Source organism: Homo sapiens, chromosome 14, assembly GCF_000001405.40.
Source record: "Homo sapiens chromosome 14, GRCh38.p14 Primary Assembly".
Classification (NCBI taxonomy): domain Eukaryota; kingdom Metazoa; phylum Chordata; class Mammalia; order Primates; family Hominidae; genus Homo; species Homo sapiens.
This window is the reverse complement of record NC_000014.9, coordinates 80,904,024-80,920,421: the sequence shown is the minus strand read 5'-3', so window position 1 is coordinate 80,920,421 and position 16,398 is coordinate 80,904,024. Positions and strand designations below refer to the sequence as shown.

Genomic DNA, 16,398 nt, shown 5'->3' with positions numbered 1-16,398 from the left:
ATTAAGAGGCTCTCAGAATTTTCATGGCCCTCCATGCATTCTACTGTAGGTTCTGATTATGTGGTGTGAGCCTCTTGCCAACTTCAGCGGCCACTCCATTCTCATCTGTTTCTCTCTCCATCAGTCCTGTGTCTGGGTTGTAGTGGTGTTGGCTGATGATAGATCGGAGATTCTTGGTAAGGATGGATTTCTGCCACTATAGCTGCCTTCTGTGTTGTGGCACAAAGGGTTAGTTAGGTGCTCTGTTAGTTAGCTATGGGAATCATGTAAGACCTTGTGTTGTCAGTAAGAGTGGAAGAAAATGCCAGATTTTTATCAACAATGTAAATAATCTAACTTTTATTTTTTATTATAATGAGATTTAAAAATTTTACTTAGTTTAACATTTATGAAACTTAGGTAATTAAAGTCCTTAGATAGTTGCTGAATGTTTCATATGCTTAAAAAAAGCCATGCAAATTTCTCAGATATATCTCACCTTAAATCTTGATGTCTCTGAAGGAGTTCCATCAGATGCAGGAGTTTGAACATCTTTTATTGCTCACAGTAACTTAACTTTATAGCTGAAGTCTTTGTGTGTGTGTACTAGTGAAACTCATGCCGGAACTTGTGATTCTGTCTTAGTAAAAGTATGTAATCCTAGTGGTGGTGAGAGATCATTCTTTTTTCTTGTATTGTATGACGATTAGAGATAATTTAGTTTATGTTGTTCTTAATTTTTTTTAATACCAGTAAGATTTTCTGCTTTAGAGTTAAATTCAGATGCCCCCGTATCTTTACTTATTAATATTTATCAATTCAGTGCAGTGTGTTTTATAAAAAAAGACTTTGAGGTACCCATGCCTATGGGAACAGTATAAAAACATAGCCTGGAGAGTTATACATGAAATCATGCTAGTGATTATCCCTGGGAAAATGGGGCAGGAGTAGTACTGGGTGAAGGAGGGGTGGTTGGAAGGTACTAAGACTTTATTTACAGTGTTCTAAATATTTTACTAAAAACTCTCAAAGGTACATATGTCAGAATGATAATGTTTATTAGTTCTTGGTGATAGATACATGCATGTTTATTAGTCTGTACTATTTTGTATCTTAAATATCATCCCCAAATTTCAGTTATAATTATTTTTAGTCATGTTGAAACTCAAATTGTCTACGTATTAGAAGTGTCTGACATGCCATTTATATCTGGTGAAGTTGTCTTCAGATAACTGATTATTATTAAAATTTTGATACTCTTAGAAATATCAAGTTATCTCAAAGACAGTTATTTTGTTCCTTGTTCTCATTAACAACTATTATAGTAAGCACATTGTCTTTTTCAATATTAACTTTTTATTCTGCCTGATTTCTTAACTTCAGTGATTTCTTAACTTCAATCAAGTTTCCAGAATTATGACTTGTTAAAATGAAAATTATTATGCTTTAAGCTATAGAATTTTGATATGAAAGAGACAGATGCCAGGCATAATTATTATTTTCTCTTATATAAGAGATAAAAGGAATAAGGAAACAAAAACCCCTTAATCTGGGACCAGTGGATTGATTTGTTTCAGGGCTTTTTATTAAATGCATTAGTATAGATATGTCACTTAGTTTTTTTCCTGGTGCCTAGTTAAGATTTTATATTATTATTTGATATTTCCCTTTTTTCTTGATATTTTTATGCTGACATGAAATGAGAGGGAGTTGAGAAGATTATACACACATGTAGGCTCTGGCCTGCACCTGCTCTCTTTAGCACTTTTTGTTAATTGTTAAGATTGTTAATTCTCAGGATAATCGGACAGCAGAACACAGTGGGAAGAACATAGTGTTGAGGACAGAGAAAGCCAGCTGAATCTTGGGTTTGCATTCTACTTATAATTACTGTATGGAGTTGGATATTATTTAATATCTTTTAGCAGTAGCATCCTCTATGAATTAGGGGTTAATAGTGTTCACTTTAATAAGTTGTTATGAGAATTAAATTGGGTTGTCTTATGTAAGCATCTGCATAGTACTTGGCAGAATAGCAGAGTCTTAGAAAATGTTGATTTTTCCTGCTTTCACTAATGGAAAATGCTTGATGGGAAGTACTGTAACTTAGAGTAAAAGATGTTATGTTATGTGGCATAGATTTATGAGATGCATACAAGTGATTTCTGAAGTTTAAAAGGTGAACATTATATGTAAGATGTTATATGTAAGATGTCTTGTCTTCTAAAGAAAATACTTTTTTCCTTTGGACTTAAGCAATTGTGAGCCAGGAAAAACAAAGCCAAACAATTGCTTCAGTCTTAATTTCTTGTTCATGTTTCCTTATGGTGGGAGGGAGTGACATCATGGGTACTATACCTTTGTAATTATACATGGGATAAGACAGGCAAGAACCAGAGAAGATAGGTGCAGAAGGAAGTTAAGAGCCCTGGGCAGAGGAGAAGCATGGGTGTTCAACAGGATGTTCTCTAACCCTGTCTTAGCTACTGTGAAGAAGTTGGCTATTTCATTGATTCTTTTTTTGATACAGCAGTAACAGACTGTATTTCATTTAAAAAAAACCTAACCTTATGGCAAGAGTTCTTGTTTATTTGTTTAGTTATGTTTCATCCAATATTTTAAAAACACAGTTGCTTTCATTAAATGCTTTAGGACATGTATACATTTAGCACATTCTCTTTATTGTCTCCTTAAATGTATGATCAATGTACTTCCAGATGCATTCAGAATAAAGATCTTGGAAGTCTAAGATACTCTGTCATTCAAGAAATGTTTTCTCGGGAGGCTGAGGCAGGACAATTGCTTGAACCTGGGAGGCGGAGGTTGCAGTGAGCCAAGCTGAGATCGTGCCACTGCACTCCAGCCTGGGTGACAGAGTGAGATTCTGTCTCAAAAAACAAAAGAAAACAAAACAAAAAAGAAATGTTTTTATCACACTATATTTAATCAGCCAGCAAAATGGCCATATAGATTTTAGGAAGATTCTAGCAATTAATCTTAAAATAATGTTAACCCACCAGTAAGTAGAAAATGAAATTATTGGGATACTCAATATACTTTCACTTTTTATCAGTTGAGTTTCTCTGATGCTTCTTTGTTCTGAACTTACTTAGTTTCTTCAACTTCTATTAAAAGGTTTCCTGAAACTTTTGAGATTCCTTTGCATGAAATAATTTTTTTTAATGTATTAAATAGAAAACTGAGGTAAGGATGGAAGAAAAGCATGTTTAGAGAATTATCTACTGATGCATATACTTAGGATGTCTGGCTTTCTATTTTGGTGGAGATGTTGAAGATGCCACCTTCTCATGTATCTGTTATTGTAGAATTTGTATCTGTATTACAGCATTTGTTTAATTCTACTCTATTTGAAATCAAGGTACATGAGAGTTGTCAATGTACACTGAGTGAGACCGCCTTATTGTAGGTCATGCTGTGTGGCCTTTACCTGTGTTCTTATAGTATAATGGACATTGGATGAATATTAAGATACTTGCTGGTCCTAACTTTAGAGAATATCTGTGTTTTTCTCATCTACCTTATGGTGTTGTTGGTAGGATTAAGTGAGGTACTAAATGTGACAATACTTTTAAAATTTGGAAGCATTGCATGAATCTAAGGGATTATTATCACTGGAGTTGTAAACATGACCAAAATCATATCTGAGGAATCGCTCCCTTAAAGCAGAGACAATGGAGGAGGGAGAATTACATGGGGAAGTGACTTCTTGTGTTTTTAAGCTATGTATGTAGAAATTACAGTGTGCAAAATTACTAATGTATTAAACATAGAAAAGAGATCAAAAGTAAACTGTTGTATTAGTCTTTTATTTCCATGCTTTTTACTGTTTCATTAACTTTGACCTATATTTATTTAAAAGGATTTGTGTACATCAATGGCAGAATCATCCAGCGAATCAGATCACTTCCGCTGTCGTGACCGATTGAGTCCATGGGCTGCCAGATCAACGCACAGGGGAACTCGAAGTCTTCCTACAGTAGAAGTTACCGAGAAGGTCAACACTATAACAAGTACTTTACAGGTTAGTTTAACAATGGTTGCATTTAATAGAATTTAAATAGTTTGAGCTGCTTAATAGTTTCAGTCAGTGGATTAGTTTTCTTGCTGCTGTAACAAATTACTGCAAAGCTAATGTCTTAAAACAACACAAATTTATTATCTTAAGGTCTTGTACATCAGAAGTCAACACTGGTCTCACTGGGTCTCAAAGTGTTGGTAGGGATGTGTTCCTCTCTGGAGGCTCTAAGGGAAAAATCTATTGCCTTGCCTTCTCTGGTTTCTAGAGGCTGCCCACATTTCTTATCTTGTGGCTGCCTTCCCTCATCTTCAAAGCCAGCAGGGAAGGGTCAAGCCCTTCTCACATCCTATGACTTTACTTCTCCTGCCTCCCTTTTCCTCTTTTACGGATGTTTATGATTTCATTGGGTCCACCCAATAATCCAGGAGAATCTCTCCATCTAAAAGTCTTCAATGTAATCACATTTGCAAAATCCCTTTTGCCGTGTAAGGTATACATACACAGGTTGCAGGGATTAGGACTTGGATATCTTTGAGGGCCATTATTCTGCCTATGACAGTTGGTAAAGATATTTGAAATATGTGATAGGTGGTGGAGAGTGTTTTAGGGTAAAGCAGTATTTCCAAATAAAATATCGTGAGAGTGAAACCAGTAGAAATGATTGTAGTTTAGCTTCTCATGGGCATGTGCCTTTAGAGAAATTACTCATGTTTTGGTGAGGTAGATTATTTGTGGGTGAAAATAAAGAGGTGCCATTTTAATTTAGAGGCTAATTTTTGCTAGTATTTGGAGGTTTGAGTTGAGGCATTTTGCTTCCTTTTCTTAGAAAGGGCTTTAGAAAAGAGGTGGGGTAAGTGTAACACAGCTATAGGGGAAAAAAAGAAAACTCAGAAATATAAGGTATTTCCTACGCATTAATCCCTTACCTTTGCCTTAGCCTGGCTAAGAATGGATTTTGGCTTTTAATTGCTTTGGATTAATATGCTTAGATAAGAAGAGGGTAATTTCTGGTGGCGAAGCCATGCATTGATTTGAAAACCAGAGGACCTATCCTTTTTAAACTCATTTAAAGTAACATAATGGGCTGGGCATGGTGGCTCATGCCTGTAATCCTAGCACTTTGGGAGGCTGAGGTGGGAGGATCACTTGAGCCAGGAGTTTGAGACCAGCCCAGGCAACATACTTAGACTGTGTCTATACACAAATTAGGAAAAAAAAAAAATTTAGCTGGGCATAGTGGTGTAGAATTCCTTGAGCCCAGGAAGCTGAGGCTGCAGTGAGCCATGATCATGCCACTTCGCTCCAGCCTGGGTGGCAGAGCAAGACCCTTTCTCATCAATAAGTAAGTAAGTAAGTAAAGTAAGTAAAATGTAAGTAAGTAAAGTAAGATAACAATGGAATTTTGTAGTATGAATTCTTGTGCTTTCCCAACAATGAGACACATTAATAAGTATATATTTTTGAAAGAAATACCTTGATTAATCTCCCAGGTGAAATCTAGAATATTTAGATAAGAACCATTTCTTTTGTGATTAAAATTAAATTTGTTGTTTTTCTTCTCCTCAAGTTCTGAGGTAAAAGAATAGTCAAAATCACATTGATCTTAATGATTTTCTTCTCTTGTACACAGTCTACTAGATTTGCTCTTTCAGAATTCCTTTTCTATAAAGAGGGTGTGAATTGGTTGAGGGGCACAAATTGAAAATTATGATTCTGAGAATTTATGGTTTTGTTGCTGACTTACTAGGGAATCTTGAATACGGATTTACATTATGTGCTTCAGATTTTACACAAGTAAATTGCAGTTGGATTTGAGTTTCTCTCAGTGGTGTTAAGATTTACTTAATATGTGTGAAGTACATTGATATTCAACTCAGCCATGATAAAAGTTGTACATTTTACAAACTGTTGACTTAGTTGATTGACATACTACTAAGATTGATTAGGAAAAAAAAGTATTTGGAATAATTAATTCAGTCCATTTTCTTTCTCAAGGATACCAGTCGGAACCTGCGACAAGTGGACCAGATGCTTGGACGATACCGAGAATACAGTAATGGACAGGCGGGTGCGATAGAACATGTGAGAAACTACATTTGTTTGCATTTTCTCCTACCCACCTTTTTGGGAATGAAGTGTTTTGGGGAATGGGGCTGTGAGCTAAAGGAAAAAACCATTGTGAAGTGCTTTAGATTTTAAACTGATTTATTATTTTATAGTTTAAGTTTAGGTTAGCTTGTCAGATGGATTGCTAACTAGCTTATATAAATTAGATTCTATTGAATTTGAAGGCTTTACATCAGAGAGAGTAGAATTCAAGACATGAATTTAATGGAGACTTGGTAAACTTGGGCCATGGAGAGACCCCTCATGTAGAGTTAAGAATTTTAAGGATGGTTTATTTTAAAGTAATATGTGTTTATTGTTAAAACAAAAAATGAAAAAATCCTCTCTCAAAGCCCCTTTTTAATTTTTTAAAATTTCTATTGCTGTAGTGGAACAAGTGGTTTTTTGGTTTCATGGATGAATTGTATAGTGATGAAGTCTGGGATTTTAGTGCACCTGTCATCCAAATAGTGTACAATGTACCCAATAGATAGGTTTTCATCTTTTACCCTGCTCCCAACCTCCTCCCTTCTGAGTCTCCACTGTCCATTATACCACTCTGTATACCTTTGCGTCCCTTCTGAGTCTCCAATGTCCATTATACCACTCTGTATACCTTTGCGTCCCTTCTGAGTCTCCAATGTCCATTATACCACTCTGTACACCTTTATGTACACATAGCTTAGCTCTCCTTTATAAGCGAGAAGAAGTGGTATTTGGTTTTTCATTCCTTAGTTACTTCACTTAGGATAATGGCCTCCAATTCTATCCAACCTCCCTTTGAGCCCCACTCAAAAGAGGTAACAATTTTGAGAGCTTGTTTCCAAACATTTTCTATGTATTTACAAGCATATGTGCGATTTGCTTTAAAAATGGAATCATATTAAATATAATGTTATACAACGTTTTAAAATTTAATAATGTATATCACTTTCCATATAACTTTGTGTAGCACTACTTCATTGTTTTGAACAGTTATACCGTATTCCATAGTATGAATGTATCTAGTTTTTCTTTTTATTATAAACATTATAGCAGTGACCATTATTGTACACACACATACATATGTTTTTGTAATCCTGTAGGATTGCTGGAAGTAGAATTGCAGGGTTAAAGGATATATGCACTTAAAAATTTGCTGGATATTTCAAAATTGCCCTTTCAAGGATGTTCCAGTTTATACTTACTTTACATGGGGATGTAAGAAAAAAATGTACTCCAGAGTTCTGGAATAAAGTTAATAATGTATTTTTAATTAATGTCTTACTAATTCTATCTTCTACTTTTCTTTCCTTTGGAATTGCTTACTCCTGTCCTGTAAACTCTTGGAAAACCAATTAAACTTATTCCTTCATGTTTCTAATGAGGGGTATATATACAGTGTGATGAAAACACTAAAATCACATTGTATATGTACCTATCATTGGAAACATGAAGGAATAATGACTGTTTTATACATATCTGTGTTGTATTGAATTGTCACGTAACTCCCAAGTTGTAATTGACGGCTTGTTATTATTATTATTTTTTTTTACAAGTAAAGGTATAGTTGTCATTAATCACTTGTAATTGCAAGCTAATGGGCACAGGGAAACATATCTTCTCTCATAAGGGTTTCTACTATTTTTATTTAGAAAATGAGTTTGGACATCCTTGTATTTACAGGATTTTTATGATTTATGATGTACTTGACCAATGGAGCTCTATAGACTTTGTTATATTTGGGCAGTTCATGAAATGTTTCAGATTCATTACCTTATTAATAATGGGAATTGAGTCTTTGCTTTTTAATTTATTAGTGAAAAATTGAAAACATTATTATTAACCATTAGTAGAGTATAGTCCTACTTTGTAAAGTTGAATATTAGATCCCTACTTAGGGTAGCAGATTTCCTTTGAATTGGGCAGTTGGGAAATTAAATTATGTATACCCAATTTGAGGTATGATATATTCCATAGCACTAAATATTGTAATGTTAAGAAAGCAATTTTCAACGAGGGATCCATTGTCATCAAGTCTCTGTGGTAAGCCTAGAGTTGAATAATGCTAAACTTTCTGAGGGAGTAGTTTTTTTTTTTTTTGAGGTGGAGTCTCGCTCTGTCACCAGATTGGAATGCAGTGGCGCGATCTCAGCTCACTGCAACCTCCGCCTCCCAGGTTTAAGCGATTCTCCTGCCTCAGCCTCCCGAATAGCTGGGACAACAGGCGCATGCCACTACGCCCAGTTAATTTTTCTATTTTTAGTAGAGATGGGGTTTCACCATGTTGGTCGGGATGGTCTCGATCTCCTGACCTTGTGATCCGCCTGCCTTGGCCTCCCAAAGTGCTGGGATTACAGGCACGAGCCACCGTGCCCTGCCCGGGAGTGGTTTTATAAGTGGGAAGTAAATAAATTCAACAGGTATTTCCATCTGAGTTGTAAATACATGTTTAGGGAATGACAAACTCTTTAAAATAGCTTCTCCAGATTAAAGCATTCTATTTCATCATTCTATTTATTTTTTACTTTTATTGTCATTGCCTTTAATCATAATGATAAAAAGTATCATTTACTGAACGACCAAATCTACCTCAGGCATTGTTCTAATTATTTTACATAGATCATCTTATTTCATCCACAAAATAAAACATGTAAGAAAGTTAGAAAGTTATCTGATGGGGTGTGAAAGATGCAGAAAAGAGCGGGGGCAGAAGTAAAAGTAGTACAGCTGAAGAAAGCAAATGAAGCTTTTCTTTGGTCCTTCTGAATCACATATTTCTATTTTTAAAATTTTATTTGTTTACTTATTTTGAGACAGAGTCTTACTGTGTTATCCAGGCTGGAGTGCAGTGGTACAATCACAGCTCACTGTAGCCTTGAACTACTGGGCTAAAGCAATTCTCCTACCTCAGCCTCCTGAGTAGCTGAGACTACAGTTGTGTACCACTACACCTGGCTACTTTTTATTTTTTACTTTTTTAGTAGGGATGGGATCTTACCATGTTGGCCAGGCTGGTCTTGAACTCCGGGGCCCAAGTGATCCTTCCGCCTTGGCCTCCCAAAGTGCTGGGATTATAGGCGTGAGCTACCATACCCGGCCTGAATTATAATGTTTTAAATGATCACTTCTGTTATTTGCATTACCCATTGTTGCCCAGATGATCTCCTTTCATAGATTTAGGTTGGAGTGTAGTCAATCCTTTTGCGTTTTATATGCATTCTTTTTGAGTTCATTAACCTTGAGTTACATTTTGTTTCTAATCAGAGTTTTTCCAAATAGAGATATCAAAAGGCTTTCAGAGATCTCTGTGAGAATTTTAAAATTTAGTTATTTTATTTTCATGGTAATCTAAAAGCATCTACAGTTATTTTTCAGTTCATTTATATATCAGTTTCCAAAATAATTGGTTTCCTACATCTTCTTGTGGTGACCAATGACTTTTTTTACCCCTTGAGTATCATTATTAACTTACAATTATATGCATATTTAAAGTGTTTTAGTCCATTGCAGTTAATATTTTTATTTATGCTCAAATTGTTTTATCTTTGGCTAGAGGGAGCCTACTACATGCTTAAGTCAGAAAAAGCATGTCTTGATGATTTGGATAAACTACCTGTGTTAGTCCATTCTTGCATTGCTATAAAGAACTACCTGAGACTGGGTAATTTATAAAGAAAAGAGGTTTAATTGGCTCACCGTTCCACAGGCTGTATAGGAAGCATGATGTTGGTATCTGCTCAGCTTCTAGGAGGACTCAGGAAACGTACAATCATGGTGGAAGGCAAAGGGGAAGCACACACATCACATGGCCGGAGTAGGAGCACGGGAAGGAGTGGGGAGGTGCTACACACTTTTAAACAACCAGATCTCATGATAACTCACTCACTATACAGTACCAAGCGGGGATGGTGCTAGACCATTCATAAGAACTCTGCCCCCATGATCCAGTGACCTCTCACCAGGCTCCACTTCCAACACTGGGAATTATAATTGAACATGAGAATTCGGTGAGGACCCAGATCCAGATCATAGCCATTCAATTCCAGTGCCCAAATTTTATTTGCATTTATACTGGTGCACAGTAGTTTCCATTGTTTCAGTCTAATATCAAAAGAACAGAGGTAAAAGAATAGACCTAATCTTTAAATCATGCATTTATATCAAGTGAGATATTAATATACATTATATTATGTTCTATGATGTCCATTTTACAATATTTCATATAGGGGAAAGTGGGGGAAAATAGGATCATCATTTGGTATCTGGTGAGGTAGTCCTAGTAGACTCAAAAGAATTTATAACATTGTAGTTAGTACCACAGTCTTTGGTAAGATTGATTAGTTTTAGGAAAATAACATCATCCATCATAGAAAATGTTAGATTGAGTTTTATTAATATTATTTTGTTTTTATTTAATTTTGTTTGGTTTGGCGTTACACCTAGTAAGATGTTATAATCCAAAAGAGTTTAAAACAATTTTTATGACTTCGTACTTTGTCTCTTTATTTCTTGGTTTTTGTGTTTTAGGAGTTATCAAATTGGCTCCATACATCACTAAATTTTGTGCAGTGTCTGTTGTGTTGTGTTGTGACTACTTAAAGTGTAGATTTTAATTCTATTACATTTTTAGTTTTATGTTTTAGGTGCAAAAATTGTTTTTGCCATAATGCTTGGAAGAGTAATTTAAAATCGCCTTTATTTCATTCATCTCCCTTTACATAACGTAATTTTATTTTTTGGACCTTAAAAATCATCCTATTCATCTTCAATGGCTTCGGATATATCTTTTTAGAGTTTTAAAATGGGGTTGATAGATTAGATTTTGGGGAAGTGTTTCACTTCTCTTGTTCTTTAATGTTCTTCTGTTATGTCCCATGGTAACTTTTTTTCTTTTGGTGGCAGGGAGTTTGCGTGTGTGTGTGTGTGTGTGTGTGTGTGTGTGTGAAAATTCACTTTATTTCTGAGCTTTTAGTTACAGCTTAGGATTTGTTAGCAAATAAGCCTACATAAAAAGGATGCTGGCAAGATCTGCTTTTGGCATTGGTAGGTAAGATTATTTCAGATCAACTCTTCTACTGAGAACAACTAGAAACATGAAAAAAAAGTAAAAAATAATATTATGAATCCATCAAAGAACTACTAAGGCAGTGAGGAATTATGTAGTCAGAATCTGGCAAAAAACTTAAGTCCAGAAGGGTAAGTCTTATATTTGGGACTTTCTTCCTCCTTCAAGATGATAGCTGATTCCTAAAGAGGTGGATTAAAAGCAGAGAGGCTAGGATCAGAGTTATCAATTAACTTAAGAGGCTAGGAAGACCAAAGCTGGAGTTCAGGAACCCTTTAGCTTTAATGGAGACCCCAAAGGGTGATAGTATAGGCAAAGTGGTGAATTGGAAATGAGAAGTGATAAACTGAAAATAGACCAGCCTTCACGGTGACAGAAGCCAGTCCTTGAACCACTTCAGTTCCTAACTGGGTTAAGGTGATTTGAGATTGCTAGTGACCCTAACCTGACTTTCTATTAGAAGCAGAACCAGATTTTTCTGAAGAAAGATGTCATCCTCTAGAACTTTAAATTATTTCTACAACTTCTCATGTAAAATGTCTATCACATGATAAAGAATACACAGGCATAAGAGAATATAAAAGGTGTCTGAAAACCAAGGGAAGAAGCAGACAATAGAAACATATATGGGACTATAAGGTAACCATGAATAACATGTTCAAGAAATTAAAAGAGTAGATTAAGAGTTTTGGAAAATAATTGAAAACTAAAAGGCACCAAATGAAAATTTCAGAAACTGAAAAATAAGATAAATAAATAACCAACTGACCTTGAATGAATAGAGTGAACAACAGCTTGTGTATAGTTGAAAGAGAATTCATGAATTGAAAGATAAACCAGCATAAGATATCCAAAAAGAATGGAAGAATGAAAGATTGAAAAAATATAGAAGAGAAAAGAAGACATAACAGCATTTGGTAAAAAGGTATAACTAAAATGCAGTTGCATTTCCAGAAGGAGAGGGGAGAGAGAATGAGGCAAAAACAATGTTTGAAAAGATGATGCCTGAGAATTTACAACATATGAAATTTATTAAGCTATGGATTTTGTGATCTCTGTGGGTCGGAAATGGGATAAATACAAATAAAACTGTACATAATGATACATAATAAAATCACTGACAAAAGTAAAGAGAAAATCTTAAAAATAGCCAGAGCTGAAAAGGCAGATTACCTTCAAAAAGAAGCAGTAGTAAGAAATGATAGCTGACTCTGCTTTCAAAAGGATACTGAAATTGAGTTTAGCTTGAAAGATGGAAATAATAAACACAGCAAAAGTTAAGAGAGCTGATTTTACGTTTTATTTCTGACGCTAATTTTTATGATCAAAATCACTGTAGTGACTTTTCTAGTCTGTTTCTCATGTTACAGTTTGAATTTGAGCTTTTTAGCTTTAATATTGTTTAGTTTTATTCTGATAATTTTGTCATAGATTACTGATATACTACTTTGTGATCACTACATAAGACCTCTGGTCTACTTATATGTTATTTTACTTATGTGTAAATTACTCTCAAGGTAAACCTTGGTTTTCCTGGGCCTCATAGTATGTTTTGTGGATTGATGCTGAGGTTTTTTTTTTTTTTTTTTTTTTGAAACAGAGTCTCGCTCTGCCGCCCAGGCTGGAGTGCAGTGGTACGATCTCAGCTGACTGCAACCTCTGCCTCCCAGGTTCAAGCAGTTCTCCTGCCTCAGCCTCCCGAGTAGTTGGGATTACAGGCACCAGCCATCATGCCCGGCTAATTTTTTGTATTTTAGGAGAGACGAGGTTTCACCATGTTTGCCAGGCCATTCTTGAACTCCTGACCTAGTGATCCAGCCGCCTCAGCCTCCCAAACTGCAGGGATTACAGGCGCGAGCAACCGCCGATGCTGCATCTTATAGCTGGCTGGCGAATACTCAAGGCAGGATGGTATTGTACATATCCCAGTTTAGGTAAGGAGGAGACAGAGGGGTGTGGAAACCCCTCTTTTTTTTTTCTTTCGGAAATGAGAGGGACAAAAGAAGCAGCTTCCTGAAATTCTAACTCTACTTCTTTTAATACAGATTGTTTCAATTAGAGCAGCCAAATCCAAATAGCCAGACTGAAAAAGGGTTTGCTTCATTTGTGACTCACATTCTGTTTCATCTGTTCTTTTCCTTCGGTTGAGGCTCCTTTCTTTCTGCTCATTTCACCAAGTAAAGCAACTTGTTCTCCCCGTAAATGGTGTTCTACCTTTTAACGCTGGCTGAATTTAGGAAACCTTGTCTTCTCAACTAATCATTTTGTTTTGACATTCTACTTAAAGAGTTATAGATGACTTGTTCCATGGATCCATGCATTATGTTTAAAATTATTACTTTCTATTCATCCTTGAATAAGATATCTAGACCCGAAGTTTCCCAGCAATTCAGGGTGTATGGATTTTCTTCAGCTTTAATTTTTTTTCCCTTGGGTCTTAGTCGAATCCTCTTCTCAGGCCTATAGTTGTGTACAGCTCTGGACATTATTCTCAGTATTTAGCATGTTTTTATTTAATGTAGCTCTTTAAGTCTAAAGGTATGTTTTTATATGTTCCCTGTTGGCTGACTCCTTAATAAACTGAATAAAGCATTTGGACAACTGTAGTTCTTAGTGTGTACTGGCAGTCTGATATCTGACCCAATCATTTTCTGGGATTTGAAGTCTTTGAATGACTGAAAGAGGTACTCTGATAAAGTTGGACAGTGTACATTGTTTCAGTAGCAGCTGTCACTGTGACAGCTGTTTAGTTTCCTATTTGTTGTAGACCTGGAGTTTCTGAAGGAATATTTAGAAGGGAGGAAAGCTTTCTGTCTTCTTTCAGTTGTGTTGACCTTGTTATGTTTCTTCGCATGAGTGGTGCACCAATTAGACATTTCAATTTGGTTTTGTAAGCCCTTACACAGTAGACATCTCTTCCACATCTGGCAATAAAAAATGGAATAGGTAGTGACAGATGCCTTTTAAAACCAGATTTTAGCATTGGTTCTTAAAATATTTGTATTTACTATTTTTATATTTTAAACATAACTTAGTTTAAAATTTTCTGATACCTTTTTTTGGGGGGAACCCAGATATTTCAGAAATAGCTTTGAAAATCTGTGGTCTATTTGTATTTGGAAGTTGTTTAAGAAGAATAACGCTTCATTCATTATATTCTTTAAATTAGTTAAAAGAAAGCTTGGAACAATCAATCGACCAACTCCGGAGTCAACGTTTATTGAGAAACTCAGGAGGGAGAAGTATTTCTGTTACAAGTTTGAGTGCAAGTGACCTTGATGGTGGCACTGGGTCAGGTAAACACTTCAAATGTTCTGAAAAACATTAAAAATATTTTTGAAGTAGATATTGAATACATTTAATTTTTGGAGAAATATGACCCACACATAACTTCATGCAGATTGGATGATAGTACATGTAGTTGTCAAGGATTTTATAGTACATGCTTTGAAATATATTGAAGGGTCTTTGTTGTTATATTGTTTTTTTTTTTTTCTCAAACTCTGTAGACCACATTAGAGCTTTACCTGACAAAAACTTAGATTTAATTGTCTGCTGCCAAAGAATCAAAACAAATACATAAATTCGCTATGTGATACACTTTAGGTTAGGTATCCTGTCCTAGCGTAATAGATTTTCACATGTTTTATGAAATACCCTGTGATGCTTGTTAAGACCAGGTGAATTTTAGTCTTGGCATGCAGGTAGATATGAATGGCTAGCTTAAAGCTTATGACAGTTTGTCTTAATTAATCTTACTTACACTTTTGTATAGCACTGAGATTCATGTTTGAATCGAAAAGCCTGCAGTGAAGGAAGGTGATTTAGATAATTGAACATTGGTACCTTACATCGTTAATATTACTGTTGATTATGGTAACAATGATTAAAAATTGGGCACTATTTTTTCATGTAGTTAGTTTTTATTTTTATATGCTGTTCAGATTGTAGACTATGTAGTTTGAAAAGTTGTTTTTTTTAGTATTAAGTTATATTAAGGGGTCATATGAGTTTTTTATTTAGAAATTTATTATTTTTGTATGAGAAAATATGTTGCTTCTTGGAGAGTATAACAAATTGAAACTTTTGAGTGTTCTATTTCCAGGTTATTTCTGTTGTTCATTTTATCTGCTTTAAGAGCATGATTAATGCTAATTTGGTGGAACTTTATGGCCATAGCAAGATACTTGGGAAATAGTCTGGGTTAGGGACATGAATATATGTATATCCATGTCTGCCATGTTTGTACTGAGTAAAATTTTAGATTGTCTCTTCTCATGCAGTATTTTAATACCTTCCCTTTTCTTTCACTTGTGAAGAGCTCCATCATTTTCCACCTACCTCACCTCTCAAGGACTATGGGGATCCACAGGGTATTAAACGAATGAGATCAAGAACTGGTGTCCGGTTTGTTCAAGAGACTGATGATATGACTCAGGTACTTTGTACCATTCTGTAATTTGTGTGCAGTATTTCCTTATGCTTCTATTGTATATAAATGACTAATGCTTGAACTTTAAGGCTATATTTTAACCAAGAATTTGATCATTAGTAACTTTATACTGATCCCTTTTTTTGGAACCAAGTAAACGACTTTTACTTTTTATTATTGTTTTCTTGCTGAAAAATCATAGTTGTATACATTTATGGGGTATAATATGATGTTTTAATATATGTATGCAATGTGGCATGATCAAATCAAGTTAATTAACATCTATCACCTTGCTTATCATTTTTTATGGTGAGACATTTGAAATTTATTCTCTCAGTTATTTTGAAATATATAATACATTATTATTGACATTGGTCATCCTGATGTGCAATACATCTCAAAACCTATTCCTCCTGTCTGTCTGAAACTTTGGACTGTTTGATCAACAACTCCCCTTTCTCTCCCTCTTCACCCCCTCTCCCCGCCACCCTCTGGTAACCATTATTCTACTCTATCTTTCTATGAGTTAAACTTTATTAGAGTTCATACACAAGTGGGATCATATAGTGTTTGTCTTTCTGTGCCTGGCCTTTTTTACTTAACATAATGTCTTCAGATTCATCCATGTTTTTGCAAATGACAGGATTTCTCCCTTTTTAAAGGCTGAATAGTATTGCATTGTGTATATATACTACATTTTCTGTATCCATTCATTCACTGATAGACACTTAGGTTGTTTGCCGATCTTGGCTGTTGTGAATAATGCTGCAATGAACATGAGAGTGCAGATATCCC

General features: G+C 35.1%; 1 protein-coding gene across 15 annotated transcripts in view; it reads left to right on the top strand.

Moving 5' to 3' along the window:
- Positions 1-16,398, top strand: part of CEP128 (centrosomal protein 128) — a 482,534-nt gene that overhangs the window by 39,081 nt on the left and 427,055 nt on the right. For 14 of the 15 annotated variants that reach the window (NR_157142.2, XM_047431023.1, XM_011536493.3 and 11 more), the window contains 4 exons: positions 3,860-4,021; positions 6,014-6,100; positions 14,341-14,467; positions 15,491-15,609. Coding sequence is in view for 14 of the 15 variants with exons in the window: in XM_047431023.1 (XP_047286979.1) it covers positions 3,875-4,021; positions 6,014-6,100; positions 14,341-14,467; positions 15,491-15,609 (480 nt within the window). In the remaining variant the exon portion in view is untranslated. Of the gene's footprint in view, positions 1-3,859; positions 4,022-6,013; positions 6,101-12,952; positions 13,106-14,340; positions 14,468-15,490; positions 15,610-16,398 lie in introns of those variants that run through there. The other variant, XM_047431027.1, reaches the window with a different exon arrangement.